Genomic DNA, 20,237 nt, shown 5'->3' with positions numbered 1-20,237 from the left:
CATAGGTCTTTCACCTTCTTGGTTAAGTTTATGCCTAAGTATTTTTATTCTTTTTGGTACTTTGCAAATGAAATTGTTTTCTTAATTTCTTTCTGGAATTGTTCACTGTTAGTGTATAGAGACATATTTGCAACTTTGCTATGTTTATTAGTTCTAACAGTTTTTCTGGTGTGGAATATTTAGGGTTTTCTAGATAAAACATACATTAGCAAACAGAGATAATGTTACTTCTTCCTTTCCAATGTGGATGCCTTTTATTTCTTTTTCATTCCTAGTTACTCTGGCTAGGAGTTCCAGTACCATGTTGAATAGAAGTGGCAAGAGTAGGCAATCTTGCCTTGTTCCTGATCTTAGAGGGAAAGCTTTCAGGTTTTCACTATCAAGTGTGATATTAGTTATTAGTTATTGTCTCTTCATAAATGGCATTTATTGGGTTAAGGTAGTTTAGTTCTATTCCTAGTTTGTTGAGTGTTTTTATCATGAAAGGATGATGAATTTTGCCAAATACTTTTTCTGCATCAATTGAAATGATCATGTAGTTTTTAACCTTCATTCTTTTAATGTAGTGTATTATATTAACTGATTCTTGTATGTTGAAACGTCCTTACATTCCAGGGATAGATCCCACTTGGTCATGGCGTGGAATCCTTTTAAAATGCTGTTGAATTAAGTTTCCTTGTACTTTCTTGAGAATTTTTTTAATCAATATTTATCAGGGAGCTTGATCTGTTTTTTTTTCCTTGTAGTATTTTTGTCTGGCTTTGGTATTAACGCTGGCCTCATAAAATGAGCTTGGAAGTTTTCTCTCCTCTTCAATTCTTTGGAGTTTGTTAATTGTTCTTTCAATGTTTGGTAGACTTTTCCAGTGAAGTCATCTGTTCTTGCACTTTTCTTTGTTGGAAGGTTTTTCATTATTAATTCAATCTCCATACTAGTTATAGGTCTGTTTAATTTTTTTCTTGTGATTCAGTTTCAGTAGGTTGTATGTTTCAAGGAATTTATTCATTTCTTCTAGGTTATCCAATTTGTTGGCACATAATTCTTCCTAGTAGTCTTTTATGATCCTTTAAATTTCTTATTTCTGTGGCATCAGTTGTAATGTCTCCTCCTTCATTTCTGATTTTAGTTATTTGAGTATTTTCTCTTTTTAGTCTGGATAACGGTTTGTTAATTTTCTTAATCTTTTCAAAAAAAAAACAACTTGCATTGATTCTCTCTATTGCTTTTCTATTCTCCATTTTGTTTATTTATGTGGTATTCTTTATTATTTCCTTCCTTCTCCTAACTAGTATGTTGTTTAATTTCCATACATTTGAGACTCTTCTCATTTTCCTTCCACTATTGATTTCTGGCTGGATTCCATTTTGGTCACAGAAGATACCTGGTATGATTACAATCTTCTTAAATTTGTTGAGACTTGTTTTATGGCTTAACATAAGCTCTATCCTTGAGCATAATCTATGTGCACTTGAAAAGAATGTGTATTCTGCTGATGTTAGGTGGAGTGTTCTGTATATGTCTGTTAGGTCCAACTGTTCTACAGTGTTGTTCGAGTCCTTTGTTTCCTTATTAGTCTTATGTCTGGTTGTTCTACCTTTATTGGAAGTAGAATATTGAAGTCTTCTACTATTATTATATTGTCTGTTTTTAGAATATAGGGCCAGGCATGGTGGCTGACGCCTGTAATCCCAGCACTTTGGGAGGTTGAGGCGGGTGGATCACCTGAGGTCAGGAGTTCAAGACCAGCCTGACCAATAGGGTGAAGCCCCATCTCTACTAAAAATACAAAAATTAGCCAGGTGTGGCGGTGGGTGCCTGTAGTCCCAGCTACTCGGGAGGCTGAAACAGGAGAACTGCTTGAACCCAGGAGGTGGAGGTTGCAGTGAGCCGAGATTGTGCCACTACACTCCAGCCTGGGTGACAGAGTGAGACTCCATCTCAAAAAAAAAAAAAAAAGAAGAAGAAGAATATAAATGTGAAAAAATTACAGAATGCTGAATTTGACCTAACACAGAATTTTAAAAAAACACGGTGCATTATTTTTTCTGAGAAACAGTATTTGAATGTTTACGACTAAAGCATTACATAAATAGAATTATCATCCGGAATATCACAACATAATAGGCATCCATTAACTTATGCAAAACAGATACAATATTGGACTGTAAGTCAAAATAATTGGTTTCTAATCTTAGATTTGACCAAATCTTTAATGTCTTTGCTTTAATCTGTTAAGACATATGAAACAGTATAAATGAAAGCAGAATAAACTGAAGAGACTATAATTTTAATAATCCTTCAAATGAGATACAGACAATTAGCTAAGAAGCTGAGTTCCAAAACGACAATTCCTATGCTGGCTTCAGACAACAGGCAATGACTCTGCTTCACACATTATGAATACTCTATAAACATAAGCAAGATTCAAGAAAGGATAGAACAAACCTTTAGAGTACCTAGACTACACGTAGGTACTCAAAAAAATTCTGTTGAACTGAATTGAAAAAACTAAATGCGCTACAACAGACCACTTTTTACAAAGGGCACAACATGCAACTATATACACAAATACATAAGGAAATTAGCACTTACCAAAAGACTGTAAAACTGCTTAATCAGAACAGATACTACTCTCAGCAAACGCATGCAGATAGGAAAATATGGTTTTTCAACTGGTGCTGGAGAAGATGAGGTGCTGGAACCTTGTCTGAACTTTATATTTGGAGAAAAGAGCTTTATCACAAGAGGACATACCCTTTCTTTGAGGAGGAAACTAAATTCTTGGTGCTATTTGCAAGGAAAAAAGAAAGAAAAAAATAATTAACTTTATTTGTACTTAATACTTCCAAAAACACAGTCTCACTAGGAAACAAAACTTCTTAATAACCAGTATTAATAATTTAGCTTTACTATAAGTTTATATGTTTTATTATTTTATAGTTTACGCACAATTTTGAAATTCGTATTGCACTTAGAGAGTCTAAGGTCAGAACAGTCATCAGAGCCCAGCATAGTGGCTCATGCCTGTAATCTTAGCATTTTGGGAGCCCAAGGTGGGAGGATAGCTTGAGCCCAGGAGTTCAAGATGAGCCTTGGCAAAACAGTGAGACTCCATCTCTACAAAAAAAATTAAAAAATTAGCCAGGTATGGTGGCACGCACCAGTAGTCCCAGCAATTTGGGAGGCTGAGGTGGAAGGAACACTTGAACCCAGGAGGTCAAGGCTGCAGTTAGCCGTGATCATGCCACTGCCCTCCAGTCTGGGTAACAGAGCAAGATGCTGTCTCAAATAATCATAATCATAATCATAATCAGTATTACAAGAAGTTTTTGAAAGAATATAAGTTTAAAAGGAACATTTAATGATTTTAGAAGTAAGTAATTGGTGATTAACAGAAACTTCAATTTTAGCTGGACACTGGTAATTAAAAACATAAACAGAAGAAAGAAAATACAGCCAGGCATGGTGGCTCAGGCCTGGAATCTTAGCACTTTGGGAGGCTGAGATGGGAGGATTGCTGGCATCCAGGAGTTCAAGACCAGCCTGAGCAACACAGGGAGACCCTGTCTCAACAACAACAACAACAAAAATTAGCTGGATATAGTGGTGCCTCCTGCGGTCCCAGCTACTTGGGTGACTAAAGTGGGAGGATCACTTGAGCCCAGGGAGGTTGAGGCTGCAGTGAGCCATGATCACACCACTGTACTCCAATCTGGGCAATGGAGCAAGACCCTATCTCACACAGAAAAAAAAAAAAGAAAAAGAAAAAGAAAAAAGAAAGAAAAGAAAACAAGCTATACAAACTCAAGCAAATAGTTTAAAATAGGTAGCTGAGGAGAGAAAATTTCCTAAGAGAGTATAAGTTATATAATTCACTGATTTCATTTTTCAAAGAACAATTCCATTCATGCAGAAGATTTAATAATTAACTTAAAATTTTGTTCTGCTTGGACTGCTTGAACAGAACATGATGAGCTGATAAAACATGCAATGGCAAACAAGCATAATTATTTTACAAGTCAGGGAATCTTGCAAATAATTCTTAAATTTTACTTATAGCCATGGTATATCATAAAGAAAGCACTCCTTAACCTGTTAATTCCCTGCCTATATTAGCCAAGAGTAATCCCATTTCACTGACAATATAAGGCCTAGGCTGTATTTAATGACTAGCCTCAAATACATTTTGTTGTTGTCATCCAAATTTCACTGAAGCTATAAACAAAGAAAATATCACAAAAATCATTTGACCTAATCCTTTCATCTTACAGAGAAGGAAAATAAGGCACAGAGCAGGTTGTTTGCTCAGAATCACAAAATTTTTTAAATGTATCTTTTTTTTTTTTTGAGATGGAGTTTCACTCTGTTACCCAGGCTGGAGTGCAATGGTACAATCTCGGCTCACTGCAACCTCCACCTCCCAGGTTCAAGCAATTCTCCTGCCTCAGCCTCCCAAGTAGCTGAGATTACAGACATCTGCCACCACACCTGGCTAATTTTTGTATTTTTAGTAGAGACGGGGTTTCACCATGTTGGGCAGGCTCTCCTGACCTCAGGTGATCTGCCTGCCTCAGCCTCCTCCCAAAGCGCTGTGATTACAGGCATAAGCCACTAAACGTATGTTTTAAAAAATCAGATTCTCAAGAAAGAAAATCCAAAAACACAGATAAATAAAAAGATAAAAATAAAAGTCTTGCCTAATCTCACCTCCTGGAGATAAGTGGACTAGTCATTGTTACTTCTGCATGTATACTCTTCCAGACTTTTATAAATATTTTAATATACTTTTTCATTCTTTCCTCCAAAATGAGATCTTAAGAGATAAGTGATTTGAAATTATACTCTCACATCTACAGTTAGTTTATCTGACTGCCAAAATGAAAAGTAAAGTCCACTTTCATATTTTACAAAAATAATTATTTTGTATATTGGTTAAAATATATAAACATACCGGCAATTCTTAAGCAATTCTTAAAAGTTTTACCAATTCACTGTTTCCCTCTCACTGCTCAACTCACTACAGTTGGGTTTCCTCCAGCACTATCACCAACCATCCCAACTCTACTTCTCCACTTCTCATTATACTCATCATGATCTCTGTGGCCAAAGCAAACATTTTCCAGTCTTTCCAGTTTTCATCTTATCAGATCTCTTTGTTTTTGTTTTGTTTTTTTCTGTTTTTGAAATAGGGTCTTGCTCTGTCACCCGGGCTGGAGTGCAGTGGTATGATCATGGCTCACTGCAGCCTTGACCTCCTGGGGTCAAACGATCCTCCCACCTCTCAGCCTCCCAAGTAGCTGAGACTACAGGCATGTGCCACCAGGCCCAGCTGATTTTTTTTTTTTTTAATTTTTCGTAGAGACAAGGTCTCACTATGTTGCCCAGGCTGGTCTTGAACTCCTGAGCTCAGGCCATCTGACTGCCTCAGCCCCACAAAGAGCTAAGATTACAGGTGTGAGCCACTGCGCCTACCAGATCTCTGTGAACCACCTGATATAACTGATTACTTGCTTCATCTTGAAACTTTCTTTGCTTTTGCCTTTTATTATGTCACACTCTCTTAGATTTGTTCCTGCCTTCTGGCCTTGTGTTCTCAGTCTCTTGTATATGCTCATCTTCAACTGTTTAATGTTGAGCTTCCTCAGAGTTCCAGAGTACCATGCCCTTGCTTTGTACTCTAGGTTCTTACCACAGAAAATCTCATTCACTCCCATATCTTCAATTAGCAACTATATGCCAGGAACATTTAAATTTATAATTTCAGCCCCAAACCTTGAAATGCATAAGTCCAACTAACATTTTGCATGTCTCACAGATACCTTGAAATTAGTATATATATGAATAATGTGTCCTTTGTGATAAAAATTCTGCCCATGGAGTACTCCATCTTAGCAAATGGTTCACTGTTCAAGCCAGAAAGCTAGAAATCATCTTTGAGACTGCCTTTTTCATCTTCCACTACAACACTTCATTGAGGCAAAAGGCAAAGCTTCAATGCCCTTAAAGCTTATTTTTCTAGAAAAGAAGACATCCTTTCTCAGGGTCACTGCTCTTCAAATTCCTTCTGTGTGGAGTATTCTTTTCCTGTTCTCTCTATATCTCCTAACTACTCTTAATCCTTCATTTACAAGCTTAAGTATCCTATCCTTGATTTATCACCAACTCTCCACCAGGTCTGGTCCCGTTATTCATTTCCTAACACTTTTAATACTTTTCCTTCACAGTACTCATCAAGCCTTATCAACTCAGTTAAAATCTGTCTCCCCATTAGAATTGTAAGTGCCACAGGGCAAAGATTTTATCAGTCTTATTTAACTTCTGTATACTTGGCATAAAACTTAAGTGACTGGTAAATTTTGATTGCATATGTGAATGATGAGTTAAAAAAAGAAACAAATACGTATCTCTGGAAGAAAATTGTACAGGATGAAATTCTAGGATCTTACACAGAGAATTCTTCCCCTTCCATGCTTTACAGCAGGAAGAATAAAGTAAATTTTCTAAGTATAATAAATCCATAAAAACAGGCCGGGTGCGGTGGCCCACGCCTGTAATCTCAGCACTTTGGGAGGCTGAGGTGGGCAGATCACGAGGTCAGGAGATCGAGACCATCCTGGCCAACACGGTGAAACCCCATCTCTACTAAAAAAAATACAAAAAATTAGCCGGGCGTGGTGGCGGGCACCTGTGGTCCCAACTACTCGGGAGGCTGAGGCAGGAGAATGGCGTGAACATGGGAGGCGGAGCTTGCAGTGAGCCGAGATCATGCGACTGCACTCCAACCTGGGCGACAGAGCAAGATGCTGTCTCAAAAAAAAAAAAAAAAAGAAAAGAAAAGAAAAAAATCTGTAAAAACGGTTTCAAATCTTTTCCTATGAAGTCAGAAAACATGACCCAAACATAAAAATTTTAAATTCAAATTCATTAACCAATTCATTCATTCAAATATTTATCAAACACCTGCCATATGCCAGGCACTATTACTAAAGACACCTATACAACAGTGTACTAAATCCCTGCCTCATAGAGTTTATCTTCTTGTAGGGAAAGAGAGAAAATAAAATAATACACAATATGTAATAATATATAATACACATATACGTGTGTGTGTGTGTCAGGCAGGAGGTGATAAGTGCTACAAAGAAAAAGAGAGATAAGAAAGATAATGGTGCTGATAGGAAAAAAGGTTGCCATTTTACACAACGTGGTTGGGGAAGATGTGTCTGGTAAGTTGACGATTGAGCAAAGCCCTCAAAAAAGTAAGACAGCAAGCCATATGAGGAAAAAAGGATTCCAGGCCCAGGAATAGTAAGTACAAAGGCCCTGGGGCACGAGTCTGCTTGAGGCACTTCACAAACAACAAGAAGGACAGTGTGGCCAAAGGGTGAGGGCAAAGAGAAGAGAGGAAAGAAACAAGATCAAGGAATACTGGGGACTAAACCATGAAAAGTTCCACAGAGCATAAGGACACTTCATCTTTTAGTCTGATAAGGAGGATATCAACTGAACCAATTTACAAGAGACTAAAAAGATTCGACTTTTTAAAAATACCATTGTGGATGTGGTGTCACAAACAACTATAGTAAGTGGTACAAGTATTAACATATATGCAAGCAGACCAGTTAGGAAGCCAACACAATAATTCAAGTAAGAGGTGATGGTAGCTTAGACTAGAATAATTGTAGAAGTGGTAAGAACTGATTGGATCCTGAATATATTTTGAAGGTGATGGTCGGGATGTGATGTGTATATAAAAAAGAGAGGATACAGAGAGAAACTAATTTGGATCAACATGAGTTCAAATCCCAACTCCATCACTTATAAACCATGAAACTGCAGACAAATTATTTAACCCTCTGGATGTTGTAGTTTCCTCATGTGTAAAACAGTGATAACTGGTATCTCAGGCATTTGGGAAGATAAAAGAGAATATTAATATGTAAGGAATCTGGCACATAGCACATAGAAGGCAGTCAAGAAATGACAGCTACTATGACTATTATTTATACAAGAGTGCTGGACAAATTATACCTAAATACTGCTTATCCTATTACACTACAAGAAAGGGAATCATCAGTGTATATACTGCTCGCCAAAAGCATTTAACAACTGCCTAATGTATACCAAAAATTATGAGCCATATAAAACTAATTTCAGCTCCACATCCTGGCCTAAAAAATCTTATATTACTGTAGCACTTGATTCACTCATTTTGTAGGTAAGAGCAAAGGATAAAATGGATTACTTAGGGAGGAAGCATGGTAGGGGAAGGCACTAGATGAGTAGTTAAAAAACCTAAATTACAGTTCAAGACCTAATAACTAAGGGACCCTGTGCAAGTCACTGACTTGATTTTGGACTTTAGTTGTTTTCCATTTAAGTTATGTGAAAACACATAGCTAGATATATAAGCAAGTAAAAATCAACAATTTCTTTAAGCTTTTAAATATTATACAAGTAGCTCACATACCACATTTCCTTCATAGACCCATACACTGGGAAATACCTGACTATTAATAGATTGTCTCTAGAGATTCTTTCTATTATTAAAATTCCAAAATGCTAAGGCACTAAAAAAAAAGTAATGTAACACTAAACTGTTATATGTCTAAAGTTTGAGGCTACAATTCTCCATATCTTTCTTTCCTTCCTTTTTTTTTTTTTTAATTTAAGAAATGGGGTCTCGCTCTCTCACCCAGGCTGGAATGTAGTGGCTTGAACACGGCTCAGTGCAAACTTGACCTCCTGGGCACAAGCGATTCTCCTGCCTCAGTCTCCTGAACAGCAGGGAATACAGACATGCACCACCATGCCTAGCTTTTTTAAAAAAATTTTGTTTTATTTATCTTTTTTGAGACAGAGTCTTGCTCTGTCGCCTAGGCTGGAGTGAAGTGAGGCGATCTTGGCTCACCGCAACCTCTGCCTCCCAGGTTCAAGCCATTCTCCTGCCTCAGCCTCCCGAGTAGCTGAGACTACAGGCACCCGCCATCACGCCTGGCTAATTTTTGTATTTTTAGTAGAGACAGGGTTTCACCATATTGGCCAGGCTGGTCTCAAACTCCTGATCTCATGACCTACCCACCTCGGCCTTCCAAAGTGCTGGGATTACAGGGGTGAGCCACCGCGCCCAGCCTTTTCATTTTATTTTCTGTATTGATGGTGTCTCACTATGTTGCCTAGGCTGGTCTCGAACTCCTGGGCTCAAGCAATCCTCCCACCTCAGCCTCCCAAAGTGTTGCAATTACAGGCATGAACCACCAACTCTGGCCTCTTTGCCACTTTTAAGGTGGAAAAAAAATACACGTTGCTTTCTTTAAAAATATCTGTAAAACAATTCAGATTAACTTTGTCACAAGATACTATAAATGGCTTACTTGTAAAAAGACCTGCGGAAAATCATTGAGGACTGACTCAAGTAATTCGAGGCCAAACGTCCGAGTCATTTCTGTCATGCCCACTAGCCAATAAGGAGCATCAGCATTAACCAACTGACAAAGATCCTGGGAAAATAAATCGAACAATTTCACATGCTAGAATTAAATGTGCTTTTCCAAACTCGCAGTTCATAAATCTTTAAAAAAAATCTATCTTCTTATATAATACATGTTTTTGCTCCTTAGAAACTAAGCACTGGTAATTCCAATTTTGACAAATTGTGTAATTGATAGATTATATAAGTAAACTTCTAAAGAATCATATAACTACTGACAACACAGAGACAGTAGACAGATAAATGATTAATCTAACATTATTTCAAATGAAAAACTAAGCTTTTAATCCGAAGTAATAATATTTTCAGTACAGATTAATCTTGTTTTACCTAAAATTATTTATTCATGACAAGTGATGTAAAAATCAGGTATCTATGTATCAAATTATACTACACAGACCAAATTTATTACTTAAATTTTCCTTTTTTAAAGAAACTTTTTTTTGTATGACTAGTTGTTTCTGATATACCTGTTTTCTAGTTCTGCATTTATTTCATTTTCTTAAAGTGAGTAATAACGTTTTATCATGTTAATTAGCTATAAAGTAAATATAAAAGTTGTTCTTTAGAACTATCTTAATACTACCTTTGACATATTTTCAAAAAAATTCACATTAAAAAAATTAGACATAAAATCCCCAACTAAAAAATTCACACAAAACTATATTTTAGAATAAAAATTACTTTTATCAACTAAAATACCTGGAAAAGCATATATGCATCTTTAGCACAAGGTTTGAGGGTACTGACAGATCTTCTGTTACTATTTCCTTGTACCAGTACTGGTTGTTCTATAATATCTGCAATCAAAACAGGATGGGTTTTAGGAGTTCATAATAGCCTTTAATAAATTATATATTCTGTTTAAAAGATAATGTTTAAAATAAATATTTGTTTATATAAGTTGAAGTTATAATTTCAGAATTAAAATTTCCAATGTTAACATATGCCTCCAAAACAAAAAAAAATGGGAATCTGTTTTTACACCAAATACCATAAAAATCACTCTTTGCTACCTTACATTCACTCTAATAAGCTGGGTATCTTTGTTCATACATTTGGTTTCCCAGTCTCCCATTCTTCAGCCCCTTTTTTTCATGGATTTAAAATTCACATGATCTTTAAATGTGCTTTTAAATATCAAACAAACATAAACGTTTACCATATGGTTAACTCCTCTACCATTTCACTATTTTCAAGAGAATTACTGCTTGATCTGCTGCTGTTACCATGTCAGTTACAGATACTCACCAGCTAAGAATCAGCTAGGATGGTGTTTCCCAACTCAGCATTTCTTTAACTACTAGTAAAAAATATCATTCTCTGTAAGTTATGACAGCCTGTTTTGAATAAATATTGACTTAACGACTACCTGAAAAGAAAAAAGTTCTAAGTATTTCTACCTTACTATAAAGTATTAAATGGCAGATTAGCCTTAGAGACAAACAACTAAAACTACCACTCCAGGAATTTTATTGAGGATATGAATGTATAAAACATTGAAACTGGGAAATTGCCCTGTGTTATTACAATATGATTTTGAATATTTTAACCAAATGGGACACATTATAATTCCTTAATATTTCAAACTACTAGAATTCTACCTGCATTTTTCCCCAAGAAAAAATAAAGAAAAAACAATATACCAAAGTGGAAATATTCTAATAAAGGTAGTCGATAAAAATATTTTAAAAAAAATTTTTTTTTTTTGAGATGGAGTCTTGCTGTGTCACCCAGGCTGGAGTGCAGTGGTGCAATCACAGCTCACTGCAACCTCTGCCTCTCGGGTTCAAGTGATTCTCCTGCCTCAGCCTCTGGAGTAGCTGGGACTACAGGTGCACACCACCACACCCAGCTGATTTTTTGTATTTTAGTAGAGACGGGGTTTCACCGTGTTGCCCAGGCTGGTCTCAAACTCCTGAGTCAGGCAATCCACCCACCTCAGCCTCCCAAAATGCTACGATTACAGGCATGAGCCACCGCACCCAGCCAAAAATTAATTTTTATATTATTTAAATGTTCTTAACACATGTTAGCAGATACAGACAAAAATTTACGAGGGAAGCCCACTCTTGGAAATTTATCCTAAAGAAATAATTCAAAAAGATACGTAGGAAACCACCCAAAACAGTTATAAAACACTGAACAGAATGCAAGTGTCCAATAGGAGACTAGTTCAGTTAAATTACAGAATGGCCATGAAATATAATGCAATCATTAAAATTTAAATTATGAGGACGAAGCAATAACATGAAAAATTCATAGAATGTAATGTTTGGTTAAAAAATACATATAATGCAATACTTGGTTTAAAATGTGAAATTATCATATTTAATACAAAATTATGCATACACTAGAAATAAACAAGGAAAACAAGGAGCCTATTCCTCAGGGGATCAAATTGTGAGGAATTTATTTTTTAAGTTGCCATTATAGACATAATAATGTTGATCATCTGAGCAAAGGCCGAAAGTTAATACAAATGAAATCATCCAAGAACCACCCACAAAGTAAAACAACTTCTAGCACTTTACCTCTGTGTCGTTCATCTTCAGCAACCATCCTCTCAAAAACAACAGTAACAACTTGTCGCACTGTAGCAGCAGCTGTATTATTTGTAATATTATCTTTTGTGAAGTGTAGTCGAAAACAAAGAACGATTGCCTGAAAACACAATTTTCATTTAGTGTGAAATAAGATTGAAAAGCAAAGCCATTATCTTTATTGAATAATTTATGTTTGGTTGTTTCAATCACCATTATGGAAAGTCCCACCATTTACAATAAAATATAAAATCCTCAGATTTTGATGTAATCCAAGTTGTCAGTAAATATATAGCCACAGAAGATTAGCTATGGTAATGTGAAACATACCTTTTAAAATTTGGTTTTTTAACATCTATATAACAATGTGTTATGCTTTTATTTCCCCAGAATGACGTGCTTTGCAAATAACATGAACTCAAAGTTTGTTGTATCACTTAATGATCTGGAGAAGCTATGTGATTGCTAAGCACATAAATAAATAAAATTATGAAACTTTTAAAAGGAGTCATTTTTTTCTTTTAAAACTCAAGTTTATTGAGATGTAATTTATATACAATAAATTATAGAATCCCTTAAACTTATATAATTTGATGAGTTCTGACAAACATGTGGGCCCATGAAACTATGGCCACAATTGACAAACAAAATATTTCCATCACCCCAAAAGTTTTCTTGTGCTCCTTTGCCACCCATCTCTTCCTCTACCCGTGGCCCCAGGCAAACACCCATGTGCTTTATTCACTGCAGATCAATGGACATTTTCTATGATTTTTATATGAACAGATTAATTCAGTATGTGCTCATTTGGGCCCACCTTCTTCCACTTAGAATAATATTTGTGAAATTCATCCACTTTGTTCTGTTTATCAGTAGTTTGTACCTTTTATTACCAAGCAGTATTCTATTGTACGAGTACACCATATTTTGCTTATCCATTTACCTGCTGGTGAATTTTCCAGGTTCTGACTATTGTTAAAAAAAAAAAAAAGCTGCTATGAACATTCATATATATAAGTCACTGTGAGGACATATGTTTTCATTTATCTTGGGTAAATATCTGGAAGTGAAATGGATGGGTCATCTGGTAAGAATAGGTTTAACTTTTTAAGAAACCGCCAGTTGGCTGGGCATGGTGGCTCACGCCTGTAAACCCAGCACTTTGGGAGGCTGAGGTGGGCAGTTCACTTGAGGCCAGGATTTGAAGGCCAGCCCGGCCAACATGGTGAAACCCTGTCTCTACTAAAAATACAAAAATTAGTTGGGTGTGGTGGTGCACACCTGTAATCTCAGCTACTTGGGAGCCTGAGGCACGAGAATTCCTTGAGCCTGGGAGGTGGAAGGTTGCAGTGAGCCAAAATTGCGCCACTGCACTCCAGCCCAGGCAACAGAGCAAGACACTATCTCAAAAAAAGAAAAGAAAAGAAAGAAACCGCCAGTTTCCCCAGTGGTTTTACAATTTTACACTTCTGCCAGCAGTATACGTGAATTTAGAACTATCCCTACAGCCTCCATAACACTTGGTACGGTCTTTTTTCATCGTAACTATTCTAATGGAAGCATAATACTATTTCCTTATGGTTTTAATTTGTGTCCCTAATAATAACACTAAACTTCTTTTCATGTGTTTGTCACCCATTTGAATATATTATTTTAATGAAGTGTCTGTTGAAACCATTTGTCCATACTTAATTGGGTTGTCTGTGTTATGAATGAATTTTTTTTATTATACTTTAAGTTTTAGGGTACATGTGCACAATGTGCAGGTTAGTTACATATGTGTACATGTGCCATGCTGGTGTGCTGCACCCATTAACTCGTCATTTAGCATTAGGTATATCTCCTAATGCTATCCCTCCCCCCTCCCCCCTCCCCCAACCCCACAACAGGCCCCAGAGTGTGATGTTCCCCTTCCTGTGTCCATGTGTTCTCATTGTTCAATTCCCACCTATGAGTGAGAATATGCGGTGTTTGGTTTTTTGTTCTTGCGATAGTTTACTGAGAATGATGATTTCCAATTTCATCCATGTCCCTACAAAGGACATGAACTCATCATTTTTTATGGCTGCATAGTATTCCATGGTGTATATGTGCCACATTTTCTTAATCCAGTCTATCATTGTTGGACATTTGGGTTGGTTCCAAGTCTTTGCTATTGTGAATAGTGCCGCAATAAACATACGTGTGCATGTGTCTTTATAGCAGCATGATTTATAGTCCTTTGGGTATATACCCAGTAATGGGATGGCTGGGTCAAATGGTATTTCTAGTTCATTATGAATGAATTTTAAGAGTTCTTTATATAGTCTAGATATAAGTCCTTTGTCAGATATTTGTATTTTCCCACATTCTGTGGCTTACTCAAGGATTTTAGTTTTTGTGCCCTAATAAATCTTTACCTACCCCAGTATCACAAAGATTTTCTCCTATTTATCCTTCCAAAAGTTTTCTACTTTTAAAAGAAGTCATTCTTGGAGAAAAACATAATGGTAGTTTTAGAATCAATGCCTATCACCTTAACTAAAAGACACAAGCCTTTGATATCGCTACTACTCTTTAGATTTCAACATAAAGGAAAGACACAGTACATAGTTATATAGAAGCCTTCATATTACTCAATTTTATACTATTTCTTTATACTTGATTTTTCTCATCCCCAATTATTGCATTTCCAAATTAACCAACATACTAAAATAAATCCTATAACCAGTTCTTATTTCTTTAGTAGATCAAATGAAAACATTTAATAAAACTTTAAATATATGCATCAGAACAATAATTTGATAGCTAGAAACCAAGAGGAATGATACACAAAAGGATATACAAAAATATATATAATATTTATATAGCTCATATAAGCCTAAAAGAATAAACTATTTGCAGTTAAAATCTCATTATGATCTAAGAACATCACTTGATATAGTATACACAGCTTAATGTGACAGTATACTGTACTTCTTTATAAGCCATGCAAATTATAATAAAGCTATTACTGAGAGTCTAAAAAATTCCTTAGACTATAATTCATTTACTGCTATGGTACTCTCTACTTTCTGTTCTTTAGAAATATTTCATAATAAAAAACTTTTTAAAAAGTGAAATAAATAATAGAATGGCTCTTACATGTTCCAAAGTGGGTGGGAGTGATGACAAAATGAGAACTAGCCATCATACATGCAATCTTATCTAGTATAAATGGTGAAAGAAGATTTGTCTAGCCATTTAAGAAACATATTTGAACTGTCTGGTTTACATACTATATACATGTGAAATTATGGGTAGGGAGAGCTATCACAGGGAATCTAAAATACTCAAGGCAGTATCTTTTTTTTTTTTTTTTTTTTTTTTTTGAGACGGAGTCTCACTCTGTCGCCCAGGCTGGAGTGCAGTGATACGATCTCGGCTCACTGCAAGCTCTGCCTCCTGAGTTCACGCCATTCTCCTGCCTCAGCCTCCCGAGTAGCCGGGACTACAGGCGCCCGCCACTACACCTGGCTAATTTTTTGTATTTTTAGTAGAGACGGGGTTTCACCATATTAGCCAGGATGGTCTTGATCTCCTAACCTTGTGATCTTACAACATGTTTTTTTTTTCTTAGTTCCCTCCTTCCCTATTCTTACTCTTGGGCTACTTTCTCTCTTTTTTCCATTTCCTATTCACAACTCAGCCTGTTGGCTGTACCCAAGGGGCTTTGCTTAAGCACCCCAACGTGATTTCAACTCTAACCTGGAAAAAATAAGGTACCAACAGTTATTAACATGCAATGTCAATCATCACCATAGCTGTAGGGAAGTTGCTTTTGGTTCAAATGGCACCAAGCTTTTCTCTTTCAGCCAGCTTATTCAAATACTGTCTCAAAGCACATATGAACTCTGGCAAACAGTTTTCCTACCTTAGAAAGTGCCTCATCATGAACTACTGTATTGGTTGTTAAAAGAACAAGAACTGTTTGAAGTAGCTTAAGTTCTTCAAGACTATTCTCCATTAGCTGCCAAAGCATGTTAATTATATTTCCAGCTGCAGTCTGTAAAATAGTTATTTTAATTATTGTCAACAAATACAATATAGATGTTGATGTCCCTAAATAAGAGAAGGTATACAAACCTACATCAGCTGAAGAGGATTTCTTGATCACAATAACAAAACCCATATTTTTAGATTTCTAGATCCAAACACATCTCTCAAGTAATTTAGGACTTACAATCAATTCTCTCCCTCAAAAATTGTAATATCCTATTTGAATATATACAAATAGCAGCAAGCAGTTTTGTAATACCTAGTCAAAATCACAGCTCATTTCTACAATAATGTTGATAGATTGTATTTGGACATGAATAATACGGACATATGCAAATTAGCTATGAGCCTGCTGTTTCAGATACAAATACTTCATTTACAGTATGCTACAGAAAAAAAATGCAACCCATATTAACAACACATTGGCACACTCAATTAAATCTGACATTGTTTAAGATGATACATTAATGTCAAAACATTTATCACTTCTACTATAGTACTTATGGAGTACAAAATTAAGAATAACACCATTAAATTTGAGACCAACATGCAGATTCATGGTTAAGAAATATTTTTTCTCATTTTTCCATCATAAGGTTAGATATGAACAATACGTTTAAGTTAATGAAAAACAAATTATTACTCCATATAATCTAGGAAAGAGAGTCACGCTCTTCCCTCCTCTTTTTATAAAAGAAAAATTAAATAACCAATTAAATTGAAAACTTGCTTGAGTCTCAAAATTTTCATCTACATTACTGAACTGTGACTTCTTAGATTACAAATGACTTGCAAAAATACTTGTTTGTGAGTGTTTAATGAGGAGAAAATTTGGCAATATTTTTAAATAAAGCCATTTTCTCCGAGCACATTGCTATTTGTAAAAGTTTTATATTAAATATCAGGTATGTTTCATTCTCCTTTCATGAAAACTTCTGATTCAACTCTTAGGTGAAGTTTAGATAAAATCTTCATATTACCTCAGACACGACTTCATGTGACATGAGTCTCTGAATAGCAGCCAAACATAGCTGAGTGATCTTCGGTTCCTTGGTTCCACAACCCATTAAAAAAGGCTGTACAACCTCTGAGCTGTTCTCTTTCAGTGCTTCATTTAGAACACATATAAAGTAAATTATTAAAATTAATCTATAATTAAGAATGCATTTTTATATAATTACAACCAGTAATAGCGATCTCAAAAAAAATCCACTTTACGTAAAATAAACACCAAAACAAAAATCAAGTACCAAGAGTTAAAATACCTTGGACAGACACTCCAGACTCTGTATCTAAGCTATACGCCTTAACTACTGCTTTCCCATGCTTTTCTCCTAACACTCTGTCCTTTGGTTCTCCTCCATCTTCTGCTACAAACTCTATTAGGACATGGATTTTCAAAACTTCTTTCCCACCTCAAAAAAGCACTCTATTTCTTCATATACTACAGGAGGGAAAACATAAATAAGAATTCCCACCCTAGAATAGAATCATTAAAAATAGTACATACATCATCCCCACAATACTTGTAAATGAATATTAAGAAATTTCCTAGAATTTTATTATATGCCTTGAATTTAAACAGCCCTAATTTCTTCAAGAAATAAACACATTTCATTAAAAACAATAACATTACTCCTCTTATTACTGAAACAGCACTTTAAATTAATTGGGTACACATGCTATAATTCCGAACCTTAATTTAACTTCTTCTACCAAGCCAGCTCACTCAGAAGTTTTTAAGTGGCAATAAAAATGTAAGAGGTTAGAAAATGCACGAGGTTAGAAAATGCACAAACTGAATTACACATAATTAAATTTACAAAATGAAATTAAATCTACACACATTTACTGAAAGGCTACACAAAGATGGATAAGACAAGTTTGTCATCCTTACAGAATTTGAATAAATAACACGGAATTCCAAGTCAAGAGAACATTAAACTCATAAGCGATTATTTGTTTTGTGTGTTTGTGTGTGTGTATGTGTGTATGTGTGTGTGTGTCTGTGTGTGTCTTTTTGGTTTTTTTTGTTTTGTTTTTCTGAGATGGAATCTTGTTCTGTCCCCAGGCTGGAGAGCAGTGGCACGATCTTGGCTCACTGCAACCTCCGACTCCCCGGTTCAAGTGATTCTCCTGCCTCAGCCTCCCAAGTAGCTGGGATTACAGGCATGCACCACCACGCCCGGCTAATTTTTGTATTTTTAGTAGAGACGGGGTTTCACCATGTTAGCCAGGATGGTCTCGATCTCCTGACCTCGTGATCCACCCGCCTCAGCCTCCCAAAGTGCTGGGATTACAGGCGTGAGCCACCGTGCCTGGCTGTGATTATTTTTTATTATAAGAACTAACGGCCGGGCGCGGTGGCTCACGCCTGTAATCCCAGCACTTTGGGAGGCCGAGGCGGGTGGATCATGAGGTCAGGAGATCGAGACCATCCTGGCTAACAAGGTGAAACCCCATCTCTACTAAAAATACAAAAAATTAGTCGGGCGCGGTGGCGGGCGCCTGTAGTCCCAGCTACTCGGGAGGCTGAGGCAGGAGAATGGCGTGAACCCGGGAAGCGGAGCTTGCAGTGAGCCGAGATTGCGCCACCGCAGTCCGCAGTCCGGCCTGGGCGACAGAGCGAGACTCCGTCTCAAAAAAAAAAAAAAAAAAAAGAACTAACTCTATCAGTTATTTTTTGAGGCAAGACATGCAATAAAGACATATAAATCTAAGTTTTAAAATGTTTCTCAAAAGAAATTGACACAAAGTAATTCAGAATCACCATTAAAAATGTAAAACCAGTATTAACATTAATTTTATCATTTAAATCCTCACCTTCTTCTTCCAAAGCTGTCTTTATGGTATGGTAAATTAAGACTACAACTTCCTACAGCCTGCGCTGCAAAGTCCCTTAGTATGCCAGCATAAATTACTGATTTAGCACAGCTAAAGATGGCAAATGTAACTGGCAATGAACAGTGTTCCCAAAAGGGCTCCCTGTCCTTATTCCCTTGCTTTCTTGTACACAAAGGTTTTGATTCAAACCTAGAGACAAATTTTCCATAACGATATGAATGATTAAAAGATCATGACCATAAAGCTCCTCATAAAGCTTCAATAAAATGATTAAATATCCTACCAGATTTAAACCTGCCAGAACCACTGAAGTGTGAGGCAACCCCTATCTCTGCTGAACACTCCTTATTAAATGTTATTCAGGCAAATTAAAAGCTCTTAATAGTAACCAAGTTACATTTATAATTTTTATGTGTTAATATGTTTCTCATTTTAGCATCTCAATAATCTTAGAGAGTTTACAGGGCCTGATGCAGCCCTACTGATATAGTAAGTAGGTAGTAAAGCCAGAATTTGAAAATACCGTATGTCTTCTAACTCCTGGTTCACTATTCTTCCTACAATATTATGCTGCCATTCCTTATGGTACATAGCAACCTGACAATAATGGAAGTTAAAAGAGGACCCAGTGATTTGCACTTTAAAGTTGTCTGCCTGAAGTCTTCAGACAAATAAAGGAAAATGAACTCATTTTCATAAAAAACAAAAAAGAAGATATACTTTCATAGGGTTTAAGATGCCATTGATTTTAAGACATACCCATAGTATCACAACAACAAAAAAAGTCAGTGACAATTAAACTACGACACAATGCTTTCTAATCACTTAGAATTTTTCTTCACAATTTCATCCTCTGGGCCATAAACAGCACTGGGAATGAACACCTTATTTCTTGAAAGAATACTTCACTATTGTCTCTGAGATTTTCTTCTAAGTCAATGGCACCCATTCTGCATGTTTTGTTACTGGTGCTTTATTCATCTTACCATAAGATGTTAACGGAAAGTTTTCAATAACTAGGGTGACACTTTAAACAGCAATTCAACTCAATGTATGTGGTATCAACAATGCATGCAACTCAACTGATGTGATAATAACATGAAGAACCATGAACAAGTTCATGCACATATTGAAAAAGATAACTACAACATCACCTGGCTCATAATGATTCTAAGATGCCATCAACTGCAAGATGCATACCAATCAGGGGATGTTAAAAGGTGAAAAAACTGTGCATATTAAAATCAACAAAATAAGGTGAGTCATGGTGAAATGCTGTGTACATGTTGGCTACAACCAGGTCTATCAAGCCGAGATAAACTTACGATAGTAATAGAAATTAA

General features: G+C 36.1%; 1 protein-coding gene across 14 annotated transcripts in view; it reads right to left on the bottom strand.

Annotated features, from left to right (window-relative positions):
* MON2 (MON2 regulator of endosome-to-Golgi trafficking) overlaps positions 1 to 20,237 on the bottom strand; it is a 133,651-nt gene that overhangs the window by 89,404 nt on the left and 24,010 nt on the right. For all 14 annotated transcript variants that reach the window (XM_017019045.2, XM_047428542.1, XM_017019043.2 and 11 more), the window contains 6 exons: positions 17,031 to 17,158; positions 15,926 to 16,057; positions 12,025 to 12,154; positions 10,193 to 10,290; positions 9,375 to 9,500; positions 2,593 to 2,787 (listed from right to left, as the gene is read on the bottom strand). In XM_017019045.2, coding sequence (XP_016874534.1) covers positions 2,593 to 2,787; positions 9,375 to 9,500; positions 10,193 to 10,290; positions 12,025 to 12,154; positions 15,926 to 16,057; positions 17,031 to 17,117 — 768 coding nt within the window. In that variant the 5' untranslated portion in view covers positions 17,118 to 17,158. The remainder of the gene's footprint in view (positions 1 to 2,592; positions 2,788 to 9,374; positions 9,501 to 10,192; positions 10,291 to 12,024; positions 12,155 to 15,925; positions 16,058 to 17,030; positions 17,159 to 20,237) is intronic.

The sequence above is a fragment of the Homo sapiens genome, chromosome 12 (assembly GCF_000001405.40).
Source record: "Homo sapiens chromosome 12, GRCh38.p14 Primary Assembly".
Taxonomy (NCBI): domain Eukaryota; kingdom Metazoa; phylum Chordata; class Mammalia; order Primates; family Hominidae; genus Homo; species Homo sapiens.
The sequence above is the reverse complement of the archived record's forward strand: the minus strand, read 5'-3'. Positions and strand labels throughout refer to the sequence as shown.